The sequence below is a fragment of the Homo sapiens genome, chromosome 14 (genome assembly GCF_000001405.40).
Source record: "Homo sapiens chromosome 14, GRCh38.p14 Primary Assembly".
NCBI classification, from domain to species: Eukaryota; Metazoa; Chordata; class Mammalia; order Primates; family Hominidae; genus Homo; species Homo sapiens.
This window is the reverse complement of record NC_000014.9, coordinates 99,166,570-99,190,060: the sequence shown is the minus strand read 5'-3', so window position 1 is coordinate 99,190,060 and position 23,491 is coordinate 99,166,570. Positions and strand designations below refer to the sequence as shown.

The following is a 23,491-nucleotide window of genomic DNA, read 5'->3' as shown; positions in this document are numbered from 1 at the left end:
TCTAGAATTGGATTGTCAGCAGGTGCTGTGCTGGGCTTCTTGGAGTGCCTTGAGAGTGATTTCCTGGGCTCGGCCCACACCCCTGCTTCTGCGGGCCAGCCCAGCCAGCCTTGAGGTGCTCCTGCCACTTGGAATTCACAGAACTCCACCTCCCCTGGGCCTGGACCTCTAGGCTTCAATTCCCTAGTGCCCATAGTCCCCGATAAGGGTCATCTTGGGGGCCTTCTTGCTCCAGGTGCTCCCACACAGTGTGGGCAGCAGTTTCCCAGCCCTTCTCATCCCCCGCTCTACCTCGTGCACTCCCCTCTGGCTTTGTCATCAGCCTGGCCTCCTTCTGCCCCTTGGTGTGGATGATGCCTTTATCCTGCCCTCATGGGGTGGGGGGCAGTCCTGGGAGAACCAATGGGCACAGCTGCTGGGGCCGCAGGCTGGAGCCAGCGTTGTGATTGGATCCAGCTGCTGACCCAGTAGCCGCCATGCTGGGGTGTTGGTGTCTGGAGAGGGCCGTGTTAGGAGCGTGGGTGTAACTCCTTGTCGACATTAGTTTCTCTCCTGCACACTGTGTGTGTGGGTGTGCGTGTGTGCCCACGTGGACACACATCCCCCTGCATTTTATTGTGAACTTGCATGTGTGTGTGCATGTAGTGTGCGTGCAGCTTTTCTCTTCCATAACCGCCCATGGTGGCGTTCGGTGCATCTTAGAGTCCTCTGATGTTCTAGCGGCACCAGGCAGCTCGGCTGTGCATCCGGGCACCCGGAAACTTCGGTGGTGTCAGGCTGTGCCTGGCGAGATGACCACGTCCCGGCAGCCAGCAGCGGCTGGAGGAAGCTTGGCACGGTGGCAGAGGCAAAGCGCCGCAGAAGTGCCGCAGGTTTTTCATATGGAAATGTGAAATAATGGGGTGATTAAATAGAGCTGTATATTAAAGTACATCTGACATTAGAATTACCATAATGTGCTGTAGCCTTAGGCTGAGTACTTTATTTGCCATCTGCGTCGGCCCAAAATCCCCCGGGGAAGCGCTAAAATATTCTGAATAAACTCAGCTCGAGTTCTTATTGAGAGTAAAATACCATTTGTGGCACGTCGTATTGATTCGTCTTAATTGTGGTGCAGAAAAGAACATTCACTGGCTGATGACTTTTGTGCTCGGTGACAAGCTGGCTGGAGTTACTCTAGCACTGCAGTTGGTTAACCTGGGCCGACAGCAGACTCGGCCAGGCGGGCACCTGGGCTCCAGCCGCGGGAGCCGCAGCGCCACCCCCCGCCCCAAGCCGGTGGTACAGCTGGGGCTCCCCACCAGCCCCTGGCCCTCCTCCCGGGAGAGGGTTGGGGAGAAGGGAGCCCACTGTGGGGGGCAGAGGAAATTCACACCCTGCCCCTCAGACCTCTCCCTATGGCCAGCCTTGTCCTTCCCCAGAAAGACGAACTGACCTGCTGGGGACAGAGGCCACGGTTTCAGCCTCAGCCCTAGCCCCAGCCCCAGCCCCAGCCCCAGCCCCAGCCCCAGCCCCAGCCCCAGGCCAGCCATTGGTTGGAGAGATGTATTCTGCATATCGAAGGAAACAAAACTAACAAAAGAAAGGAAAAGAAAAAAGAAGGAAAAGAGCCTATCCACCCGGGCAAACCCAAGCTTGGTTAGTTACTGGTTAGTGGTTGTGGGACTGGGTAATGGTCTCTGAACCCCACTGGGGGGAAATTACTTGCAAAATGCATTAAAGATAAAAGAAAACACTTGGTGATCCAAACAGTGTTCCCCCCATTCATAAGGTCCAGTTTTTTACCCTATAATTGCCTATCATTATACACAATTTAAATATTCAAACATTCTCCACAAACCCTGGGCTAGCATGTTTTTATTACAAATTCAGAACAAGGGAATAACCTTTAACTTCAGAGACAAATGAGACAAATTTACAAGTGCATATCTGCTGTTTTCTTGTGCTTTATCAATCCCCGCAGACCGGAACACTTTTGCTCTAACGCCACTCAGAACAATATACATATATTACTACTTGTTTGTAGTGTGTCAGTAATGAGTCCCCTCTGCATTAGCTAACCTATATAACTCGGTATCGAGGCTCTCCATAACGTCAATTATCTCCTTGGAGCTAAACGTACACTCCATTAAAATGAGATTTACTGCTCTGCCATACTTCTTGGGGTGGAATGTCGAGATTTTTTGTGGATTTAAAGAAAGGAAAGATGGAGGCTTGCCTGGTGAAGGAAGTCTTGAATTATGGAGAGGGGAGACTTCCTGTCTCCAGGAGGAGGAGGAGGAAGGCCTGCATGGGGTGCTTCTGGGGAGACTGAGATCCCACGTGTGAGTGAGAAACAGCTACACACTGATCCCCGCTCACACACCTGCAGCCGACTCCTGGCCTTTTTTTTTTTTTTGCCTGTTTATCTCCTAACTCCCTCTTTATTTGTCCATTAAATGATAAGGATGGTTTGCTCTGTGCTTCTCTTTCACATTCTCTGCAAAATTCCTGTCCCCAGAGTTCTAGAATCCTTTCAGAAAACTCTCATGTTGGGCGGCGTGGGGGAACGTCACCATCAAAGTGAGCTCAGCTATCGGCCCACCAAAACCCACTGGAACAGCGTAGGCCCTTTTCAGGGAAGTTCACAGAAAGCAGATTTCAAGGGACTCTGACAACGCATTCTTTATTATTTCCAGTGGATTTCTGTGCCTTATCCGAAGGCGGGACCTCTAAAGACAACCTCTAGGAATGTGCTGTAGCTTTTCACAAATGCTGCAGATGACTTGCCACATGGAAAATTGCTCTGTGCGTCCTGCCCCGGCTCTTCCATCTTACTGACAAACACCACTGTTTTCACCCTGTGCCATGATACCCCTGCGGCTGGCAATGTTGCTTTATTTTGGGGTTGGGTGGCTGTTTCCTGAGCCTGAAACTGCACACCTGGGCTAACCAAAGAATTGAACGGTTGAAACACAGACTGTTTTGGGAAATCTCGGGTGCATGCAGCCATAGTTCAGTTTTAATACTTCCCTGTTCCACCGACAGCCTGGACTGTCTTGTTTCTGAAGGTGGATTCACAGGCCTAGGGTATTCAGATGTGAGGCTTGCTGGAATCGTTTAACTCCTGCCGGAGAGGGTAACCTAGAAGCCACCTTCCTTGCTAGTGATCTTCATAGACTGGATTTTAAGTTTCATTCCTTTATACCTTATGGAAAGCAGCTTGGGAAGGTGGTCCTCTGAAGGGTTCACATGCATCCTTTTGTTATATTGAGATTTTCCTTAATACTGAACAGTTCTTGACTTGAGTAGGCCTTGAGTGTGGGCTTGAAATTTTTCATGGACGAAATAGGAAAGTTTTCACTATGATGGGATTTACAGCAATGGAATTTGCTCTATATCCAGCTAAGTTTCTTGCGTGTTTTCTGAACCTCTCCCTTTTCAATTTTGCCTTCAGTTCTTCCTTTCTTTGAGTCTGGAGTCCCACCTCCGCCTTTAGGCATGCAGTACCTCTGCCAGGCATGCGCTTTCCCTCCCTTCTCTGCATGATGCACTTTTTTTTGAGACGGAGTCTTGTTCCATCACCCAGGCTGGAGTGCAGTGGTGCGACCTCGGCTCACTGCAACCTCCGCCTCCAAGGTTCAAGCAATTCTCCTCCCTCAGCCTCCCAAGTAGCTGGGACTACAGGCACCTGCCACCATGCTGGCTAATTTTTGTATTTTTAGTAGAGACGAGGTTTCACCATGTTGGCCAGGCTGGTCTTGAACTCCTGACCTCAGGTGATGTGCATGCCTTGGCCTCCCAAAGTGCTGGGATTACAGGCGTGAGCCACTGTGCATGATGCACTCTTATTTTCCATTCTGAATGAACACCAGGGTCTCTTCCTTGGAGAATCTTTCCTGGTCCCCCGAGGATGTCAGCCTCTCCCTCCTCTGGGTTCCACACTGCTTGGCACACCCTTCACTAGTGACTGAGTGGCCTGAACCCTGCCTAGATGTTCCTGGAGTCATTGGCCTCTTGCTCTAGACTTTATGCTCCATGAGGACAGACCTTCATTTCTTTGTGTGTCCCTCCTCTTGGCATAGGGCCTGGCACAGAGTAGACACATCGTGCATCTGTGAAGGAAGGGAGGAAGGAACAAGTGAATAAATGTTGTTGAGAAGTTGACGGTGAAGCCGTGCTCTCATTTCTTGCTGTAACGATACCATTTCTGGGTTGCCAGATGCGGTGAGGTCTTGGGTCATCCTGATACTCTTCCAGGGCTTCCCCAGGAAAGCACCTCGGGAGCAGGGTGTCTTCTGCACACCTAACACTTACCCTGGGTCAGGAGGGCGAGTGTGCGGGAGTAAGGACAGCCCTGTGGAATGAGCCAGGCCTGCACTGGATGGAGACCCCTTTTGTGGAATGCTCTTGGGTATATATTTGCCTCTCCGGTTGCATTTCCCATTTCCCCCGACCTGCCTCATTCTATAGCAAACAGAGCTGCTTTCTGCGTCGCGTGGCCCAGCGCCCTGCACCTTGAGTGTGCTCACACAGCTCCCTACCTTGCGGACCTTTCCCTCCTTGGCCTGGGCACCTCCGGTTCTCTGTGTCTGGCTTGAACATTACTGGTCATATAGTTTTTTTTTTTTTTTTCTTTTTTTTTAAGGCAGAGTCTCACTTTGTCACCCAGGCTGGAGTGCAGTGGTGTGATCTCAGCTCACCGCAACCTCCGCCTCCTGGGTTCAAGCAATTCTCCTGCCTCAGCCTCCTGAGTAGCTGGGATTATAGGTGCGTGCCACCATGCCCAGCTAATTTTTGTATTTTTAGTAGAGATGGGGTTTCACCATGTTGGCCAGGCTGGTCTCCAACTCCTGACCTCAGGTGATCCGCCCACCTTGGCCTACTAAAGTGCTGGGATTCCAGGCGTGAGCCACCGCGCCCGTCCTCATCATGTAGTTTTGCTGCCTGCCTCCTCCCCAGGTACTCAAAAGTCACTTGAGGTTTCTGCTTTGTCTGACAATTCTCTGTGTCTACAGTTTAACCCACTCCCACTCCCTGACCCCCACCTATGACCCTGAGGGAGGAAACCAAGACTCACTGGCGTTTTTGTGAAAATCTGGCTGTCAAGGGGAATGCTGGGGCTCTTTGTTTGAGGGGTGTAGGCCCAGCTTCCTAAGGTTTTTCTCAAAGCCTGAATTAAGTCCAGGCAGATGAAGCCGCACAGCTCACCTCTGCTGCAGGGGTCCCATGAGGGTAAGTGGACGGTCACCCAACACTATGGGGTGAGCGAGGTTTTCTCGCTGTGTGCAGCCTCTTTCTTCTGGGCCATTTCCTGCCCTCGAAGGCCTTCAGCTTGGCCTCCCGGGCTGGCTTGCTGGCAATCCCAGGTGCAGGCGGAATGATTAGACAGGGCTGGCTCAGGCTCCTTCCCAGGGATGGTCACCACAGGGTCTGCCATCCCTGTGTGAGGGGCAGCCAGTTGTGAGTCTGGACCCCAGCACACGCTCTGGGGTCAGACGGACCCGGGTGTGCATCTTGACTCTGCCACTTACCAGCCCTGTGACCTGGGGCCCCTCACTCAGCTGTGATGAGACTTAGTTTCTTTTCTCTAGAGAACCTGGGTTAAAACCCACTTTCCAAAGTGGCTGTGAGCATCCACCTGACAGCAAAAGGCCAACATTGGCACGTGCAGGCTGTAGCCATGCTGAACACACCAAGGTCAAAGACAAAAGATGACAGTTCAGTATGGTGATCAGTATGAAGCAGATCTAAATACAATGCTGTGGAATGCTGAGGGGATTAGACTTGGGCTGGATCTGAAAAGATATTTTATGGGGAGAGAATAAACGGCAGGTATTCCAAGAAGCAGGAATGGCACCAGCAAGGGCATGGAGGTGTGAAAATGCGCTGCCCAAAGGGAGGCACCGAGAGGGCGAGTGGGCAGCTCATGGGTGTGTGCAAAAGGCAGGCAGCAAGTGGGACCGGATCCCAAAGGCTGGGGTGCCTGATACATCGTCCTGGGTATCAGGGAGGCCCCACCAGCTCTGTGATTTGGGAAGATCTGTCCCTGGTTCTGGGGTGGGTGGTAGCAGAGGTGGTGGCATACTGTCTTGGTTCTGTGTGTAGTCCCCTGGGATTCTGGCATGCTTTGGTGGTTGGGATGCAGCCGGCTTCGGGGTGGGGGCAGTGCTGGGTGTGTTCTCTGCTGAGGAAGAGAGGCCTTTTGTTGAGAGTGCTGAGTGGAGCCCTGCTCTCTGGAGGGGGCCCGGTGTGGAGGGCGGCATGTGGACTGTGGAGTTGCGGTGTCCTCCCAGGTCTAGTCCTTGTCTTGGTGGGACTTCAGGAACGCTGACCATGAGAAAACGCAGAGAAAGTCCCAAGTTCCAGTCTCTGTCACCTCCCGTGTACCCAGTGCCTACTGTATGTGGGTCCCTATTTGGGGTATTTTACCACGACGAGCCCTCATCCTACAGCGAACGACCCAGGAAGGCAGGTATTGTTTTCCCTGTGTGGATGAGGACCCTGAAGCCCTGTGGTGTCCAGCAACTTGGCCGAAGTGTCTGGGCTTTGAAGTGGGTCTGGAAGGAACATGGCTCGTGCTGGCAGGAGGCTGAGAAGACTCCTGGTCTGTCGGATGTCTCGGCCGCTGGCAGTCCTGAAGTGCAACTTTGCGTGAGTCACCATGTTGCAGGCTGGTGTCCAAGCAGTCCACAAGACCAGCGCAGTCCCTGTCCTCAAGGAGCTTGGAGTCTGGAAGATGAATTTTAAATAAATAAGCTAAGGTCACTAATTTCTTCTTGAGCAACTTATCCAAGTTCTCTGGGCTTCCCTTATTTCTTCGGTCAATGGTCACTGCGTGTAGAGTTAGGTGGGGTCTAAACGAGGTGATGTGGGTGGGTCTGGCATCATGTGGGTTCTGAACCCCCAAGGTGAGTCAAACCCTTGAATTCTTCTCTCTCCCAGCACCCTGAACTCCTCCTAGCGTCACTCATAATTTGCATTAAATAATGGAGTGGTTACTGGGGGTTCCCTGTCTCCCCCCTGGAGTGTGAGCTGCACCCTTAGCTACCAGCATAGTACCTAGCAGATGAAGGGGGCCCAGATCCTGTTTGTTCAGTGAATTAATGAAAGTCAGATGTAGACAAAGTTCTCAGCAGAACACACAGTGCTACCACGCTCATTCAGCCCAATCTATTTTGATCCCACATTTACTGGATTTACATCTACTGAGATCCAGGAATGGCAAAGAGGTGCAGGCATGCTTTATTTGGCAATGACTGCCTGGAGCCTGGGGTTAAAGAGGAGTCCAAGGCCTGGAGGGAGAGTGCGGGGATGAACTGGCAATGTCTACCGCAGGCCTTGGTGTGGGGGCAGTGGCTTTCTTAGCCAGAGGCTGGCTCAGCACATTACCACCAGAGGAGACCATGTCTTATTGGTCATAGTACCACTGCTATTACCATCAGCACTTACACCCCTCAGTGGGCCACTTGCTTTGAAAGGTTTTTCTCTTCTAAATGGCATCTATTATTTTTGCCATGAGATAATCAGCATGATTTCATGGAGTTACTGCAATTCTAGCCAAAAGCAACACATCTTGACATTTTTGTTAGTACGTGGGCTGAAATGAAAGGTAAAATACTGAGGCCCAGGTAGCTAGCCCCATCCCTGCCCGGAGTGTGTCTGCTGCTCTTCTGACCCAGCGTTTATCAGAACAGCATAACAAGAGCACAGGCTTTACCGTGGGCAGCTGTGCAGCCCCAGGCGGATCCCCTATCTCTTCCCGTCCTCAGTTTCTTCATCTGTAAAATGGTCATCATGACGGTGGGTACTGCAGGGGTTGTTGGAGCAGCATGTGAGGTCCTTGGTGTGCTTAGCTCATGCCTGGCAGGTGGTAAGGATTTCATAAAGCTTTCTTGTTACCACTGTGAGTGTTATTTCCCCAGTTCCGCCTTTGTCTTGGAGAGAGCTGAGGTTTCACGGAATACATTTGGAACAGGCAGGGATGGTTATCAATTCTGCAGATGGCTGTGCCCAGAATGATATAGACACGAAACTTAAATAGATCCCTGCGGTGCCCAATGGACATCTCCTTTCTGACGTCATGAAAGAGGATAGTTTTTAAATGAATAAGGAATCTACACATCTGAGGGATAACACTGATAATTACGATCATTTTGGAACTGTGGAGACGGCATCTTTAGCAGACGGATTCTGGAGGCGGACTGAGTGGTTGGCCGGTGAAACCAGCCATCTCCTTGGGTACTGGGTACCCTGAAGTCCAGAGTGGGGAAGGGAGCTGCCACAGGGGGCCCTGGGATCTGGTTTCCCATCCCTGGATTTGGCCACTTCGGTGTCTACCTCACGAGGTCCCCAGTGACGTGTCATACCCCGCAGGCTCGCTTGCTCGCTCTGTGAAACGTCTCCCCTTCTCCTCTCCAGGGTCAAGGCCTGTGGTGGACCTGACCGGGTTCCAACCAAACATCATCAGTGCCTTCCACTGGGAGGACACTCACAGTGTGGTGGGAGAACCTCCTTCGTGGCCATTTGCATTGTGAAACAGGCCCTGACGATAAATGCCTCAGGTGGTGCTGTGTGCCGAGGCGGGGCTGGAGCCCTGCTCAGGGGTTGGGAAGCCTGAGGAGGAGCGTGGCCTGCCCCTTTCTGGCCGTGCCGCTTTGCTTCTCTGAGCGTCAGTTTGCTCACGTGCCAGCTGGGATGCAGTTTTCCCCTGGCCCCCCTTGAGGCCACAGTGAGCAAAGATGGTGTGAGTGAATGCATGGGAAATGCCACGCCTAGTGTAAAATGTTTTGCAACCTGTAGAGGGGCCTGTAAAGCCAGAATCCAGTTCTTACTTTAGCCCCCCAACCTCAGGATATCACCCCGGGCCCTGCTTGAGTCGAGAGGGTGTCTCCTTGCTGCTCCTTCTCGAACAGCAGTGGGCCACTAAATCTCACCCAGGCAGGAATGCCCTTCCCTTTGGTATCACTTGGCCTTAGGAGGACCCCTATCAATTATGGCCTTTTCATTGGATAATAATTTCAATTAAAGGTGTGTTTTTTATTGAACATCTCTGATACCTTTATTGGTATTATTAGAGTAGCCAGCTTAATAAGGAGGAACAATTATTTAAATGCTCATAAAAAAGCCTAATGGCAGAGGGAGAGTCACATTTCATTGCAGGAGTCCAGCTGCACGTCGGTTCCCAAGCATCATAATAAAAAACGATGTTTCCTCAATGTTTGCAAGTTTCTGCTTCCCTAGAACCTCTAATGCATGAGGCAGGCTGCATTAAATGTCCTCCAGGGTTTCATTATTGCTGGAGTTATACTGAAAGTCATCACTGAAACATCCATGACCAGGTACAAGGATGGATAATAAAAAAACAAAACGTGCAAACCCCATCGTAACGCCTGCATAGCCATGTGCGATTTATAGGCTGTGCCCACATACAGGAGCTCATTTGGTCTCCCCAGGCCTCTCTGGAGCCAGGTATATTATTCCCATTCTACTGATGAGGAAGTCAAGCCTCAGAGAGGTTAAATGAATTGACTGAATTCCTCCTTCTGGGAACACCAAGGCAGAGGGGTATGGACGCACTGCTGTTGTCCAGGGTTCTCATGACCCAGGGTATTGCATTTGAGAAAGATGTCCTGGGGCTCTGTCTAGAGCCAGTGGAGCAAAGAAGATCCAGTGTGGGTTTCTGTCAGTGGATACAAAAAATGTCTGAGAAAGGAAGAAGGATGGAAAGAAGCAAGGGAAGACGAGGCCCTGGGTCTGAGTTGCCAAGCGTGACTTAGTGAGCAAAGTGTAGCTGACGTTTCTAGGTCTGTAGGCCAGGTTTGATGTTGCTGGGTAAATCGCTTCTAAATAGTCTAGGCCTTGACCTATCAGTGGGAATCTCAGCAGCCTGTCTGGGCCGCTAGCATAAAGTTGTCACCCCTCTCCACAGTGCAGCCTCCAGCTCACCTGTGGGCAGGTGGCCCTCAGTTCCTGGAGGGGGGTGACAGCCAGGAAACATCTGGTCCCGGGAAGGGGAGTGGGCCAGCCCCCAGTCAGAAGCAGCCTGCTCACCAGGGGTCTTTTGCTGCACTTAAAAATGAGCCGTCTGAGACTGCGTGCCATGTGTTTAAAATATTTAGCGAGTTTTCAAATAGAAAAATGTTCTGAGTGGCTCTTCAAAGACTTTCTGACATTGTTCCATTTCTGAAAGTGAGCAAGCCTCATGCTCAGGGCTACTTCCGGGCAAGAGATAACCATGGAGTGATAATAAGGAAATGAATGTTTTATTAAAAAAAGAAGGGAGTGGGGACTGGAAAGAAAGTTGTCTAGGGCGGGCCTCTGAGGGCTGGGTGATTTTTAGGATATCGGAAGGCTTCAGATCCTGCACTGGAGGCCATCGCCTGAAGTGAAATCTTGCCATTGTGCAGAGGGAAGTATTGGAACCAAAGCGGTTCCCGGACACGGGTCCAGTAAGAGCTTTCCAGGCAGGACGGGTGGCCCTGAAATCCAGCCTGATGAATAAACATCGCTCTTCTCACCTGATGGTGAATTATGGACAGGTAATGCCCTCCCTATGTTGCTCCAAGTTAGTTTTAGAAGCTTTTTTTTTTTTTTTTTTTTTTTTTTAAGATGGATTCTCATTCTGTCGCCCAGGCTGGAGTGCAGTGGTTCGATCTCAGCTCACTGCCACTTCCGTCTCCCGGGTTCAAGCGATTCTCCTGCCTCAGCCTCCTGAGTAGCTGGGATTATAGGCATATGCCACCACACCCGGCTAATTTTTGTATTTTTAGCAGAGATGGGGTTTCATCATGTTGGCCAGGCTGGTCTTGAACTCCTGACCTCAAGTGATCCGCCCGCTTCGGCCTCCCAAAGTGCTGGGATTACAGGCGTGAGCCACCGTGCCCAGCCAGAAGCATTTAAAACAAACAAACAAGAAGTGGAAACACTTGAGCTCTTTAGCACTTGTAGCTACCTGACTTCCAGTAACTGCCCTTTTGAGTTGAAAAACCTGTGACTTGGCCATTTCAGCTGTAGAGCCGCCTTCACTGCTGGCCTGCGTAAGCGCTCTGCATTTTCCTCTGATAGCCATGTTCTTTCCTCACCAGCCACAGAACTTTCTAGAAAATCTGTGGCCACCCAGATCAAGAAACAGGAAGTGCTTTGGAGCACTTCCCAGGGAAACAGAGATGATGAAAAAGAGATTGGGGGAAGGGAGGTGGCCTGACTTGAAAACATGAGAAACTAAAGCGACGGAAAGCTGTGAATTGATTAATTAGAGTGGCTGAAGGGTGGTGCAGGGTACAGGAACGATCTTTAATTTGAAGATCTATAACCCTGCAGGAAGGGGCACTTCATTTGTGTTATTAGCTCCTGTGTCAGAAAAGGATGTTTATCTAGCTTCTTTTTTTATTACTTATTTATTCTGCCTTGTTCCCAAAAAGGGTGTGAGGAGTCGTCTAAATATGGCTTCTGGCCAGCTCTCCTATGAGGCTGTCTGAGCTAAGGCGTGCTGTTCCCCAAGTACAATCACTAATAAGTGTAGGACAGAACCAGGGAAGCTGGGCACTTCCTCTGTTCGCTGAGAGTGCACAGAGCAGGAGGGCTGTGGTGTTGGGGTGGCCTTACAGGGAGAATCGCGGCCACCCAGGGCCTTGGGAAGGCGTCCCTGCCCTATCTTAGGTGGGGAGGTTTCCCCTCAGGGGCTCTTTCATGGGAGAACTGAGTTACCTGGATGACTAAGAGAGGGAAATGACCCAGACACCCTGGAGAAAGAAGATAGCCTCAGAGGTGCTCCTTGAGCTGTTTTTAAGAGGGATGAGGCCGAACTTCAGAATTCCTTTTTCATTTCTGTCCTCCCTACCACCGTCTTCTCATCACCAAACACACAGAATAGGAGAGGAGAGGGAAAGAATCCCTATGTAATGCCAAACTTGTAACAGCCTGGCTCGGTTTCTAGTGTTGGTGTCCTGGGCCAACTGGTTCTGAGGTCGCGGGGGGAGTCTCCACCCTGCCCCTCGGACAGCACGAAGCCTTCTGTGACGCTGCAGGCATGCGATGTCTTGGGGAGGTCCCGGCCCCTCAGAAACTGGCAAGTCCAGTTTCAGGCAGAGGCACAGGCCACACTCAAGACCTTGGATGGAATTCAGGGTATTTGGTCCCCGAGTCACTTGATTTTTAAAAGATGGTTTCCAAATGAAAGTTTATGTGCCTATAAACACTGCTAAGAGTGCAGCCTTCCAGAAACATAATTAGTGGGTGGAAAACAAAAATGCTGTCTGCCTAGGATTTCAGAAGGCCTGTAATCGATTGGTGGAGAGAGTGAGACAGGGGACTGTTTTCTCCACTTCCCATGGCAACTTACCGATATTGGGAAGGGTCATTCATTTGCACGTTTGACTTCACCAGAGCTTGTGGCCCCTGTACTTTAGCATCTGTGTTAAAATCTTCCAGGTAGATGAAAGTTTGAGAAAACAAAAGGGATCTTTCAAGATCTCGCATGCCATGTCTTCTGCTGGATCTGAGCTGGGATTCTTGTTCCTCTTGCATCCCCAGCTAGTGAGTGCAATGCTGCAAGACGGGTCCTGTCTGCACCGTCTCTTTTATGCAGAGCATTAGGAGAGGTACATACTGGAAAAGCGGCGAGCTTCACCCCCAGGTGCAGGAGGGCACTTGCAGGATGGGTTCCGGAGGAAATGTTCAGCCTCCATTTTGTGATTGTCTCAGTGATGGACACAGACGATGACGTTTTGGCTCCATACCACGAGTGTTCGCTACAATTTGCTGCCCGTGTCACCAGAGCCAGTTGCTAACACATCAGCATTTGCCACTGTTCATCCTGACTGCCCTGTCAGATGTGAGGATGTTCTTTCATTGCTTAGTATTCTGGCAGAGGACTTTGAAAGACTCATGTAGGCCAGTGTGCCCCCGCCTTCCCTGGGGTCTGGAGGTGGAATTCCAAGCGGTGTTTGGGCGTGTGTGTGAGGACACGGGGTGGGGGCAGCTGTCACAGTAGTAGCCGGTCTTCACAGCATGTTAAATTTTTTCTGTTCCTAGGAATCCATATTCAGGTGTACAGTGCTTTCTGCACAGACGGTGGTGTAGGAAACACGAGAATTTCCTATAGCTAAAAATCCCAAATGTTGCAGAGGTATTGCAGCTATTTCTCTTAAAAAAAAAAAAGTTTGCAGGATAGTACAGTTTGATTTGTGTTTCTGTACAACTCCCTGGAATCAAATATTATCAGAATTGGTTGTTCTCAAAGGGGTCGGTGATCTTGCCCCCCTCCCTGGGAAGATTCGGCAAGGCCTGGAGACATTTTTGGTCCTCGCAACCGGGGGAGGTGGATGCTCCTGGCATCTATCTAGTGGGTGCAGGCAGAGGATGTTGCTAAACATCCTGCAATGCGCAGGACAGCCCCCACCGCCCAAAGAATTAGGATGTAAATGTCAGTAGTGCCTTGACTGAGAAGCCCTGGCCTAGATGGTTTCGGGTGTGGAGCATCCTCGAGGGCTGGGATTTGCCAGGGCTGTTACACAGTCCAGCCTTGACAGAATTCCTACTACTGGACCGTATTCTCACAAACACGATCTCCCGTGGCCTCGGAGGTAATGGAGATCAGAATCCCTTTTCTTTGGGGGAGCAAGGCGGGTCTTACACAATTGAAGTAAGTCGCTGGCGCCCGGGTGGCCAGGGCGGCCCGCCCACAGACCTGCGTCTTCGGCCCCCCAGCCAGGAGGAGACAAGGCCGGGCCTGCTTGCAAGCGGCCCTGCAGCCCCTGTCAGGCAGGGCACTGGGATCCCGGATCAGCCCGGGCCGCGTCCCCCAGGCCAGTGGCCCTGCGGTGCCCGCGCCCCGCTGCCGCTTCTCACGCTGTCTCTGCCTTTCTGTCCGTGTGTTTCCCCAGGTAAAGATGAGCCTTCCAGCTACATTTGCACAACATGCAAGCAGCCCTTCAACAGCGCGTGGTTCCTGCTGCAGCACGCGCAGAACACGCACGGCTTCCGCATCTACCTGGAGCCCGGGCCGGCCAGCAGCTCGCTCACGCCGCGGCTCACCATCCCGCCGCCGCTCGGGCCGGAGGCCGTGGCGCAGTCCCCGCTCATGAATTTCCTGGGCGACAGCAACCCCTTCAACCTGCTGCGCATGACGGGCCCCATCCTGCGGGACCACCCGGGCTTCGGCGAGGGCCGCCTGCCGGGCACGCCGCCTCTCTTCAGTCCCCCGCCGCGCCACCACCTGGACCCGCACCGCCTCAGTGCCGAGGAGATGGGGCTCGTCGCCCAGCACCCCAGTGCCTTCGACCGAGTCATGCGCCTGAACCCCATGGCCATCGACTCGCCCGCCATGGACTTCTCGCGGCGGCTCCGCGAGCTGGCGGGCAACAGCTCCACGCCGCCGCCCGTGTCCCCGGGCCGCGGCAACCCTATGCACCGGCTCCTGAACCCCTTCCAGCCCAGCCCCAAGTCCCCGTTCCTGAGCACGCCGCCGCTGCCGCCCATGCCCCCTGGCGGCACGCCGCCCCCGCAGCCGCCAGCCAAGAGCAAGTCGTGCGAGTTCTGCGGCAAGACCTTCAAGTTCCAGAGCAATCTCATCGTGCACCGGCGCAGTCACACGGGCGAGAAGCCCTACAAGTGCCAGCTGTGCGACCACGCGTGCTCGCAGGCCAGCAAGCTCAAGCGCCACATGAAGACGCACATGCACAAGGCCGGCTCGCTGGCCGGCCGCTCCGACGACGGGCTCTCGGCCGCCAGCTCCCCCGAGCCCGGCACCAGCGAGCTGGCGGGCGAGGGCCTCAAGGCGGCCGACGGTGACTTCCGCCACCACGAGAGCGACCCGTCGCTGGGCCACGAGCCGGAGGAGGAGGACGAGGAGGAGGAGGAGGAGGAGGAGGAGCTGCTACTGGAGAACGAGAGCCGGCCCGAGTCGAGCTTCAGCATGGACTCGGAGCTGAGCCGCAACCGCGAGAACGGCGGTGGTGGGGTGCCCGGGGTCCCGGGCGCGGGGGGCGGCGCGGCCAAGGCGCTGGCTGACGAGAAGGCGCTGGTGCTGGGCAAGGTCATGGAGAACGTGGGCCTAGGCGCACTGCCGCAGTACGGCGAGCTCCTGGCCGACAAGCAGAAGCGCGGCGCCTTCCTGAAGCGTGCGGCGGGCGGCGGGGACGCGGGCGACGACGACGACGCGGGCGGCTGCGGGGACGCGGGCGCGGGCGGCGCGGTCAACGGGCGCGGGGGCGGCTTCGCGCCAGGCACCGAGCCCTTCCCCGGGCTCTTCCCGCGCAAGCCCGCGCCGCTGCCCAGCCCCGGGCTCAACAGCGCCGCCAAGCGCATCAAGGTGGAGAAGGACCTGGAGCTGCCGCCCGCCGCGCTCATCCCGTCCGAGAACGTGTACTCGCAGTGGCTGGTGGGCTACGCGGCGTCGCGGCACTTCATGAAGGACCCCTTCCTGGGCTTCACGGACGCACGACAGTCGCCCTTCGCCACGTCGTCCGAGCACTCGTCCGAGAACGGCAGCCTGCGCTTCTCCACGCCGCCCGGGGACCTGCTGGACGGCGGCCTCTCGGGCCGCAGCGGCACGGCCAGCGGAGGCAGCACCCCGCACCTGGGCGGCCCGGGCCCCGGGCGGCCCAGCTCCAAGGAGGGCCGCCGCAGCGACACGTGCGAGTACTGCGGCAAGGTGTTCAAGAACTGCAGCAACTTGACGGTGCACCGGCGGAGCCACACCGGCGAGCGGCCTTACAAGTGCGAGCTGTGCAACTACGCGTGCGCGCAGAGCAGCAAGCTCACGCGCCACATGAAGACGCACGGGCAGATCGGCAAGGAGGTGTACCGCTGCGACATCTGCCAGATGCCCTTCAGCGTCTACAGCACCCTGGAGAAACACATGAAAAAGTGGCACGGCGAGCACTTGCTGACTAACGACGTCAAAATCGAGCAGGCCGAGAGGAGCTAAGCGCGCGGGCCCCGGCGCCCCGCACCTGTACAGTGGAACCGTTGCCAACCGAGAGAATGCTGACCTGACTTGCCTCCGTGTCACCGCCACCCCGCACCCCGCGTGTCCCCGGGGCCCAGGGGAGGCGGCACTCCAACCTAACCTGTGTCTGCGAAGTCCTATGGAAACCCGAGGGTTGATTAAGGCAGTACAAATTGTGGAGCCTTTTAACTGTGCAATAATTTCTGTATTTATTGGGTTTTGTAATTTTTTTGGCATGTGCAGGTACTTTTTATTATTATTTTTTCTGTTTGAATTCCTTTAAGAGATTTTGTTGGGTATCCATCCCTTCTTTGTTTTTTTTTTAACCCGGTAGTAGCCTGAGCAATGACTCGCAAGCAATGTTAGAGGGGAAGCATATCTTTTAAATTATAATTTGGGGGGAGGGGTGGTGCTGCTTTTTTGAAATTTAAGCTAAGCATGTGTAATTTCTTGTGAAGAAGCCAACACTCAAATGACTTTTAAAGTTGTTTACTTTTTCATTCCTTCCTTTTTTTTGTCCTGAAATAAAAAGTGGCATGCAGTTTTTTTTTTAATTATTTTTTAATTTTTTTTTTGGTTTTTGTTTTTGGGGTGGGGGGTGTGGATGTACAGCGGATAACAATCTTTCAAGTCGTAGCACTTTGTTTCAGAACTGGAATGGAGATGTAGCACTCATGTCGTCCCGAGTCAAGCGGCCTTTTCTGTGTTGATTTCGGCTTTCATATTACATAAGGGAAACCTTGAGTGGTGGTGCTGGGGGAGGCACCCCACAGACTCAGCGCCGCCAGAGATAGGGTTTTTGGAGGGCTCCTCTGGGAAATGGCCCGACAGCATTCTGAGGTTGTGCATGACCAGCAGATACTATCCTGTTGGTGTGCCCTGGGGTGCCATGGCTGCTATTCGCTGTAGATTAGGCTACATAAAATGGGCTGAGGGTACCTTTTTGGGGAGATGGGGTGGCCTGCAGTGACACAGAAAGGAAGAAACTAGCGGTGTTCTTTTAGGCGTTTTCTGGCTTGACGGCTTCTCTCTTTTTTTAAATCACCCCCACCACATAAATCTCAAATCCTATGTTGCTACAAGGGGTCATCCATCATTTCCCAAGCAGACGAATGCCCTAATTAATTGAAGTTAGTGTTCTCTCATTTAATGCACACTGATGATATTGTAGGGATGGGTGGGGTGGGGATCTTGCAAATTTCTATTCTCTTTTACTGAAAAAGCAGGGGATGAGTTCCATCAGAAGGTGCCCAGCGCTACTTCCCAGGTTTTTATTTTTTTTTTCCTATCTCATTAGGTTGGAAGGTACTAAATATTGAACTGTTAAGATTAGACATTTGAATTCTGTTGACCCGCACTTTAAAGCTTTTGTTTGCATTTAAATTAAATGGCTTCTAAACAAGAAATTGCAGCATATTCTTCTCTTTGGCCCAGAGGTGGGTTAAACTGTAAGGGACAGCTGAGATTGAGTGTCAGTATTGCTAAGCGTGGCATTCACAATACTGGCACTATAAAGAACAAAATAAAATAATAATTTATAGGACAGTTTTTCTACTGCCATTCAATTTGATGTGAGTGCCTTGAAAACTGATCTTCCTATTTGAGTCTCTTGAGACAAATGCAAAACTTTTTTTTTGAAATGAAAAGACTTTTTAAAAAAGTAAAACAAGAAAAGTACATTCTTTAGAAACTAACAAAGCCACATTTACTTTAAGTAAAAAAAAAAAAAATTCTGGTTGAAGATAGAGGATATGAAATGCCATAAGACCCAATCAAATGAAGAAATAAACCCAGCACAACCTTGGACATCCATTAGCTGAATTATCCTCAGCCCCTTTTGTTTTTGGGACAACGCTGCTTAGATATGGAGTGGAGGTGATTTACTGCTGAATTAAAACTCAAGTGACACAAGTTACAAGTTGATATCGTTGAATGAAAAGCAAAACAAAAACAATTCAGGAACAACGGCTAATTTTTTCTAAAGTTAAATTTAGTGCACTCTGTCTTAAAAATACGTTTACAGTATTGGGTACATACAAGGGTAAAAAAAAAATTGTGTGTATGTGTGTTGGAGCGATCTTTTTTTTTCAAAGTTTGCTTAATAGGTTATACAAAAATGCCACAGTGGCCGCGTGTATATTGTTTTCTTTTGGTGACGGGGTTTTAGTATATATTATATATATTAAAATTTCTTGATTACTGTAAAAGTGGACCAGTATTTGTAATAATCGAGAATGCCTGGGCATTTTACAAAACAAGAAAAAAAATACCCTTTTCTTTTCCTTGAAAATGTTGCAGTAAAATTTAAATGGTGGGTCTATAAATTTGTTCTTGTTACAGTAACTGTAAAGTCGGAGTTTTAGTAAATTTTTTTCTGCCTTGGGTGTTGAATTTTTATTTCAAAAAAAATGTATAGAAACTTGTATTTGGGGATTCAAAGGGGATTGCTACACCATGTAGAAAAAGTATGTAGAAAAAAAGTGCTTAATATTGTTATTGCTTTGCAGAAAAAAAAAAAATCACATTTCTGACCTGTACTTATTTTTCTCTTCCCGCCTCCCTCTGGAATGGATATATTGGTTGGTTCATATGATGTAGGCACTTGCTGTATTTTTACTGGAGCTCGTAATTTTTTAACTGTAAGCTTGTCCTTTTAAAGGGATTTAATGTACCTTTTTGTTAGTGAATTTGGAAATAAAAAGAAAAAAAAAACAAAAACAAACAGGCTGCCATAATATATTTTTTTAATTTGGCAGGATAAAATATTGCAAAAAAAACACATTTGTATGTTAAGTCCTATTGTACAGGAGAAAAAGGGTTGTTTGACAACCTTTGAGAAAAAGAAACAAAAGGAAGTAGTTAAATGCTTTGGTTCACAAATCATTTAGTTGTATATATTTTTTGTCGGAATTGGCCTACACAGAGAACCGTTCGTGTTGGGCTTCTCTCTGAACGCCCCGAACCTTGCATCAAGGCTCCTTGGTGTGGCCACAGCAGACCAGATGGGAAATTATTTGTGTTGAGTGGAAAAAAATCAGTTTTTGTAAAGATGTCAGTAACATTCCACATCGTCCTCCCTTTCTCTAAGAGGCCATCTCTAAGATGTCAGATGTAGAGGAGAGAGAGCGAGAGAACATCTTCCTTCTCTACCATCACTCCTGTGGCGGTCACCACCACCACCTCTCCCGCCCTTACCAGCAGAAAGCAATGCAAACTGAGCTGCTTTAGTCCTTGAGAAATTGTGAAACAAACACAAATATCATAAAAGGAGCTGGTGATTCAGCTGGGTCCAGGTGAAGTGACCTGCTGTTGAGACCGGTACAAATTGGATTTCAGGAAGGAGACTCCATCACAGCCAGGACCTTTCGTGCCATGGAGAGTGTTGGCCTCTTGTCTTTCTTCCCTGCTTTGCTGCTTTGCTCTCTGAAACCTACATTCCGTCAGTTTCCGAATGCGAGGGCCTGGGATGAATTTGGTGCCTTTCCATATCTCGTTCTCTCTCCTTCCCCTGCGTTTCCTCTCCATCCTTCATCCTCCATTGGTCCTTTTTTTTTCTTTCATTTTTTATTTAATTTCTTTTCTTCCTGTCTGTTCCTCCCCTAATCCTCTATTTTATTTTTATTTTTTGTAAAGCCAAGTAGCTTTAAGATAAAGTGGTGGTCTTTTGGATGAGGGAATAATGCATTTTTAAATAAAATACCAATATCAGGAAGCCATTTTTTATTTCAGGAAATGTAAGAAACCATTATTTCAGGTTATGAAAGTATAACCAAGCATCCTTTTGGGCAATTCCTTACCAAATGCAGAAGCTTTTCTGTTCGATGCACTCTTTCCTCCTTGCCACTTACCTTTGCAAAGTTAAAAAAAAGGGGGGAGGGAATGGGAGAGAAAGCTGAGATTTCAGTTTCCTACTGCAGTTTCCTACCTGCAGATCCAGGGGCTGCTGTTGCCTTTGGATGCCCCACTGAGGTCCTAGAGTGCCTCCAGGGTGGTCTTCCTGTAGTCATAACAGCTAGCCAGTGCTCACCAGCTTACCAGATTGCCAGGACTAAGCCATCCCAAAGCACAAGCATTGTGTGTCTCTGTGACTGCAGAGAAGAGAGAATTTTGCTTCTGTTTTGTGTTTAAAAAACCAACACGGAAGCAGATGATCCCGAGAGAGAGGCCTCTAGCATGGGTGACCCAGCCGACCTCAGGCCGGTTTCCGCACTGCCACAACTTTGTTCAAAGTTGCCCCCAATTGGAACCTGCCACTTGGCATTAGAGGGTCTTTCATGGGGAGAGAAGGAGACTGAATTACTCTAAGCAAAATGTGAAAAGTAAGGAAATCAGCCTTTCATCCCGGTCCTAAGTAACCGTCAGCCGAAGGTCTCGTGGAACACAGGCAAACCCGTGATTTTGGTGCTCCTTGTAACTCAGCCCTGCAAAGCAAAGTCCCATTGATTTAAGTTGTTTGCATTTGTACTGGCAAGGCAAAATATTTTTATTACCTTTTCTATTACTTATTGTATGAGCTTTTGTTGTTTACTTGGAGGTTTTGTCTTTTACTACAAGTTTGGAACTATTTATTATTGCTTGGTATTTGTGCTCTGTTTAAGAAACAGGCACTTTTTTTTATTATGGATAAAATGTTGAGATGACAGGAGGTCATTTCAATATGGCTTAGTAAAATATTTATTGTTCCTTTATTCTCTGTACAAGATTTTGGGCCTCTTTTTTTCCTTAATGTCACAATGTTGAGTTCAGCATGTGTCTGCCATTTCATTTGTACGCTTGTTCAAAACCAAGTTTGTTCTGGTTTCAAGTTATAAAAATAAATTGGACATTTAACTTGATCTCCAAACCTTGTCCTTTTCTGTGTCTTTTAAAGGTGGGGGATGGACAGCTTATTTCCAAGGGCAAATTGAAAGTCTTTCTCCATTTTCTTCCTGACCCAAATCTTTAAGCCCATCGAGAGGATGACAGGAAATCATGGCACGAGAGCCCTATAGTTCTCTTAGCTCCTGTGCAGCAGTGTGATCTAGAACAGTGGTTCTCAGCCCAGTTGCACATGGGAATCTTCTGGGAGCTTTCAAAAATCTCAGGGCCCGGGAGACATCCCAGACCAATTCTGTCAGAATCTCTGGAGGCAGGTCCCAGTATCAGCATTTTTGAAAATGATCCAGGTGATTCTCCTATCCAACTGAGCTTGTGAACAAGTAGTTGAAAAGAAAATACACTTGGCTAGGAATGATTAGACTCAAGTTGAGCCTAATACAGCTCCCATTTTCTCAATACCCAGGGAGAGCTGTTGTGAGCCATGGGGGGATCAAAATTCAGGGAGAAGGAGACCCTGCCCCAAGAGTCTAAATGATTCTGTGCCCTTGGGCAGGTCCCCTTGGTTTTCCCATTTATAAAATGAGGTTGATGAATTTTGTTAAAACTCATGAATGAGTTTTAACAAAATCACACGGGAGGATATCCTTCCCGTCCCATGTGCTGGATGTTAACAGATTTGAGGAGACTTTCACTGGAGATGATCAAAATCAGGCCTTGCAGAATGAAGTAGCTTTAATTCGGTGTTTCCCAGTGTTGGGCCTGGAGCAGCCAACAAGATGGGGTGGAAGGAGGCAGGGCTGTTGGGTTCCAGTCACACTGAGGCATGAAGGCACCTTTGGTCTTCTCCATTTAAGCAAGAGAGAGGCGGAGTCCACCCCTGAGCATGAAGGAACAAAGCGCCCACTGGGTTTTTGACCATTCTTTTTCTATGTTTTCTGTTCTTAAAGGGACAAAGAACAATCTGCTTATACCACTTCTGCAAACTATCATTGGGCACTGATGTGAACCAGGTACCAAGAATTCAGGCAGCCCAAGAATCTTCATAAAGAGACTTTACAAGAATGAAAATACCAAGCCATGCTTGCTAAGGTGATTTGTGGGCTCTCTGCTCACAGAGATGAGAAGAAAAAGAAGGGCAGCACGTTCTTCTATGTCCTGTCTTCACCCCACACAAGCCATTGTTCTCCCAAGGCCGCTGGACAAGAAGTGGGGTTTGAACTCCAGCACAAGAAATGGAGCTGATGGTTATTTGGGACACTTGCCTTACTTTTTAGGGTCTTAAGGAATAAGAATTCCCAGAGAGAAAATTCTCTTTTCCATAGGTCCTGGGCTCCAAGTCTTTTCCCCAGTGGGCTTTAAAACACAGATATTTGGGCCTTTTTATTTTTTATTTTTTATTTTTATTTTTTTTTTGAGACAGGGTCTTTCTCTGTTGCCCAGGCTGGAGTACAATGGTGCAATTACAGCTCACTGCAGCCTCAACCTCCTGGGCTCAAGTAATCTTCCTGCTTCAAATTCCCAAAGTAGATGGGACTACAGGTGTGTGCCAGTATGCCCACTAATTTTTTTCTATTTTTTTGTTGTTTGTAGAGATGAGGTCTCTCTATGTTGCCCAGGCTAATCTCAAACTCAACCTCCTGGCCTCAAGCAATCCTCCCACCGTGCCTGGCCAAACCTTAATGTGTCTGTCTTTCCCACCCAGAAAACTAGGCAAATAGCAGAACTGAAATGCTCAGTTACTTTCTGGCTGGAATACAGCAGGATATGCTCATCTCGGGGAGATGGGGAACAAACTCCTAGGTTGAGTACCAAGAATTGCTTGGGAGGAGGGAGTTAACACTCATGAATACCTGTCATTCATACTTCTGGCCAAACTTGGTGATTACCCATGGGACAAAGGAAAAGCTCACTTCAGTTCTCACCATTGTCTGGTCTGTAACCAGCTCTGTGACCTTAGGTCAGTCCCTTCCCTTTTCTGGACCTCGGTTTCCCCATCTGTAAAATGGAGAGTTAAGGTAGTTGGGAAGGAACCATTCTGCCTTTGAACAGCTGGACCCTGATGAGAGTGCCACATGTGCACAGAGTCACAAGATTTGATGGGAAAGGTCATGTCAGAAATGTTTGCTGTTCAGGTTACAAAAATCAGGGCGAGGAGGATGGATTCTCAAGAACAGAAAATCCCACGTTACTGTTGGCTCTGACTTGGAGTCTGCAGCCACCGTGCAAGCCACAAGGTCCCCATGTTTTCCAAGCACTCCCAATTGTGGTTTGGGGCAATTAAAACTAGAAAACCTCCCTGTCTGCTTCGTCGATAAAACTAGATGAATAGAAGTTGCTGGGTTTCTTTTTTAATGTTAATGTGATGGAAATATAGAATGAGTCTCACGTAACTTTTGAGCTAGGGAAGATAAAAATTCTGACTTTCTTGTGCGCAAATGAAGCCTTAGTCACTAATTGCCTGCCCTGCATAATCTTCAAAATGGTTTTATGGGATCCTGGTTACAGACCATATAGGATGCCCCAAAGAAGTCAAAAGAGGTTGAGCTTGGAAGTCGCTTTAATCCCTAAAGCAAAGACTGAGCCGGGTGTCAGGACTGGGCACAGGAAGGTCTCTGGCCTGGTCTTTGTCCTCAAGGAGAGAGACATGTTATGAAACAGGACAGGGGAGTGTGGGCAGTGAGAGGGACTGGGAAGACGGCATGACCAATCAACCCAGGAGAGAGAGGATTAGGGAAATTCTGC

The 23,491-nt window shown here is 49.8% G+C and overlaps 1 protein-coding gene across 6 annotated transcripts in view, besides 1 other annotated feature; it reads left to right on the top strand.

Moving 5' to 3' along the window:
- Positions 1-20,774, top strand: part of BCL11B (BCL11 transcription factor B) — a 102,911-nt gene extending 82,137 nt beyond the window's left edge. For all 6 annotated transcript variants that reach the window (XM_047431708.1, NM_001282238.2, NM_001282237.2 and 3 more), the window contains one exon: positions 13,866-20,774. In XM_047431708.1, coding sequence (XP_047287664.1) covers positions 13,866-15,910 — 2,045 coding nt within the window. In that variant the 3' untranslated portion in view covers positions 15,911-20,774. The remainder of the gene's footprint in view (positions 1-13,865) is intronic.
- Positions 15,312-15,827: an enhancer, noted in NCBI's record as "H3K27ac-H3K4me1 hESC enhancer chr14:99640571-99641086 (GRCh37/hg19 assembly coordinates)". NCBI's record gives its function as "activates a minimal SCP1, AML or CMV promoter by ChIP-STARR-seq in naive H9 embryonic stem cells {active_cell/tissue: H9 hESC(naive)}" and the evidence as "EXISTENCE:reporter gene assay evidence [ECO:0000049][PMID:30033119]".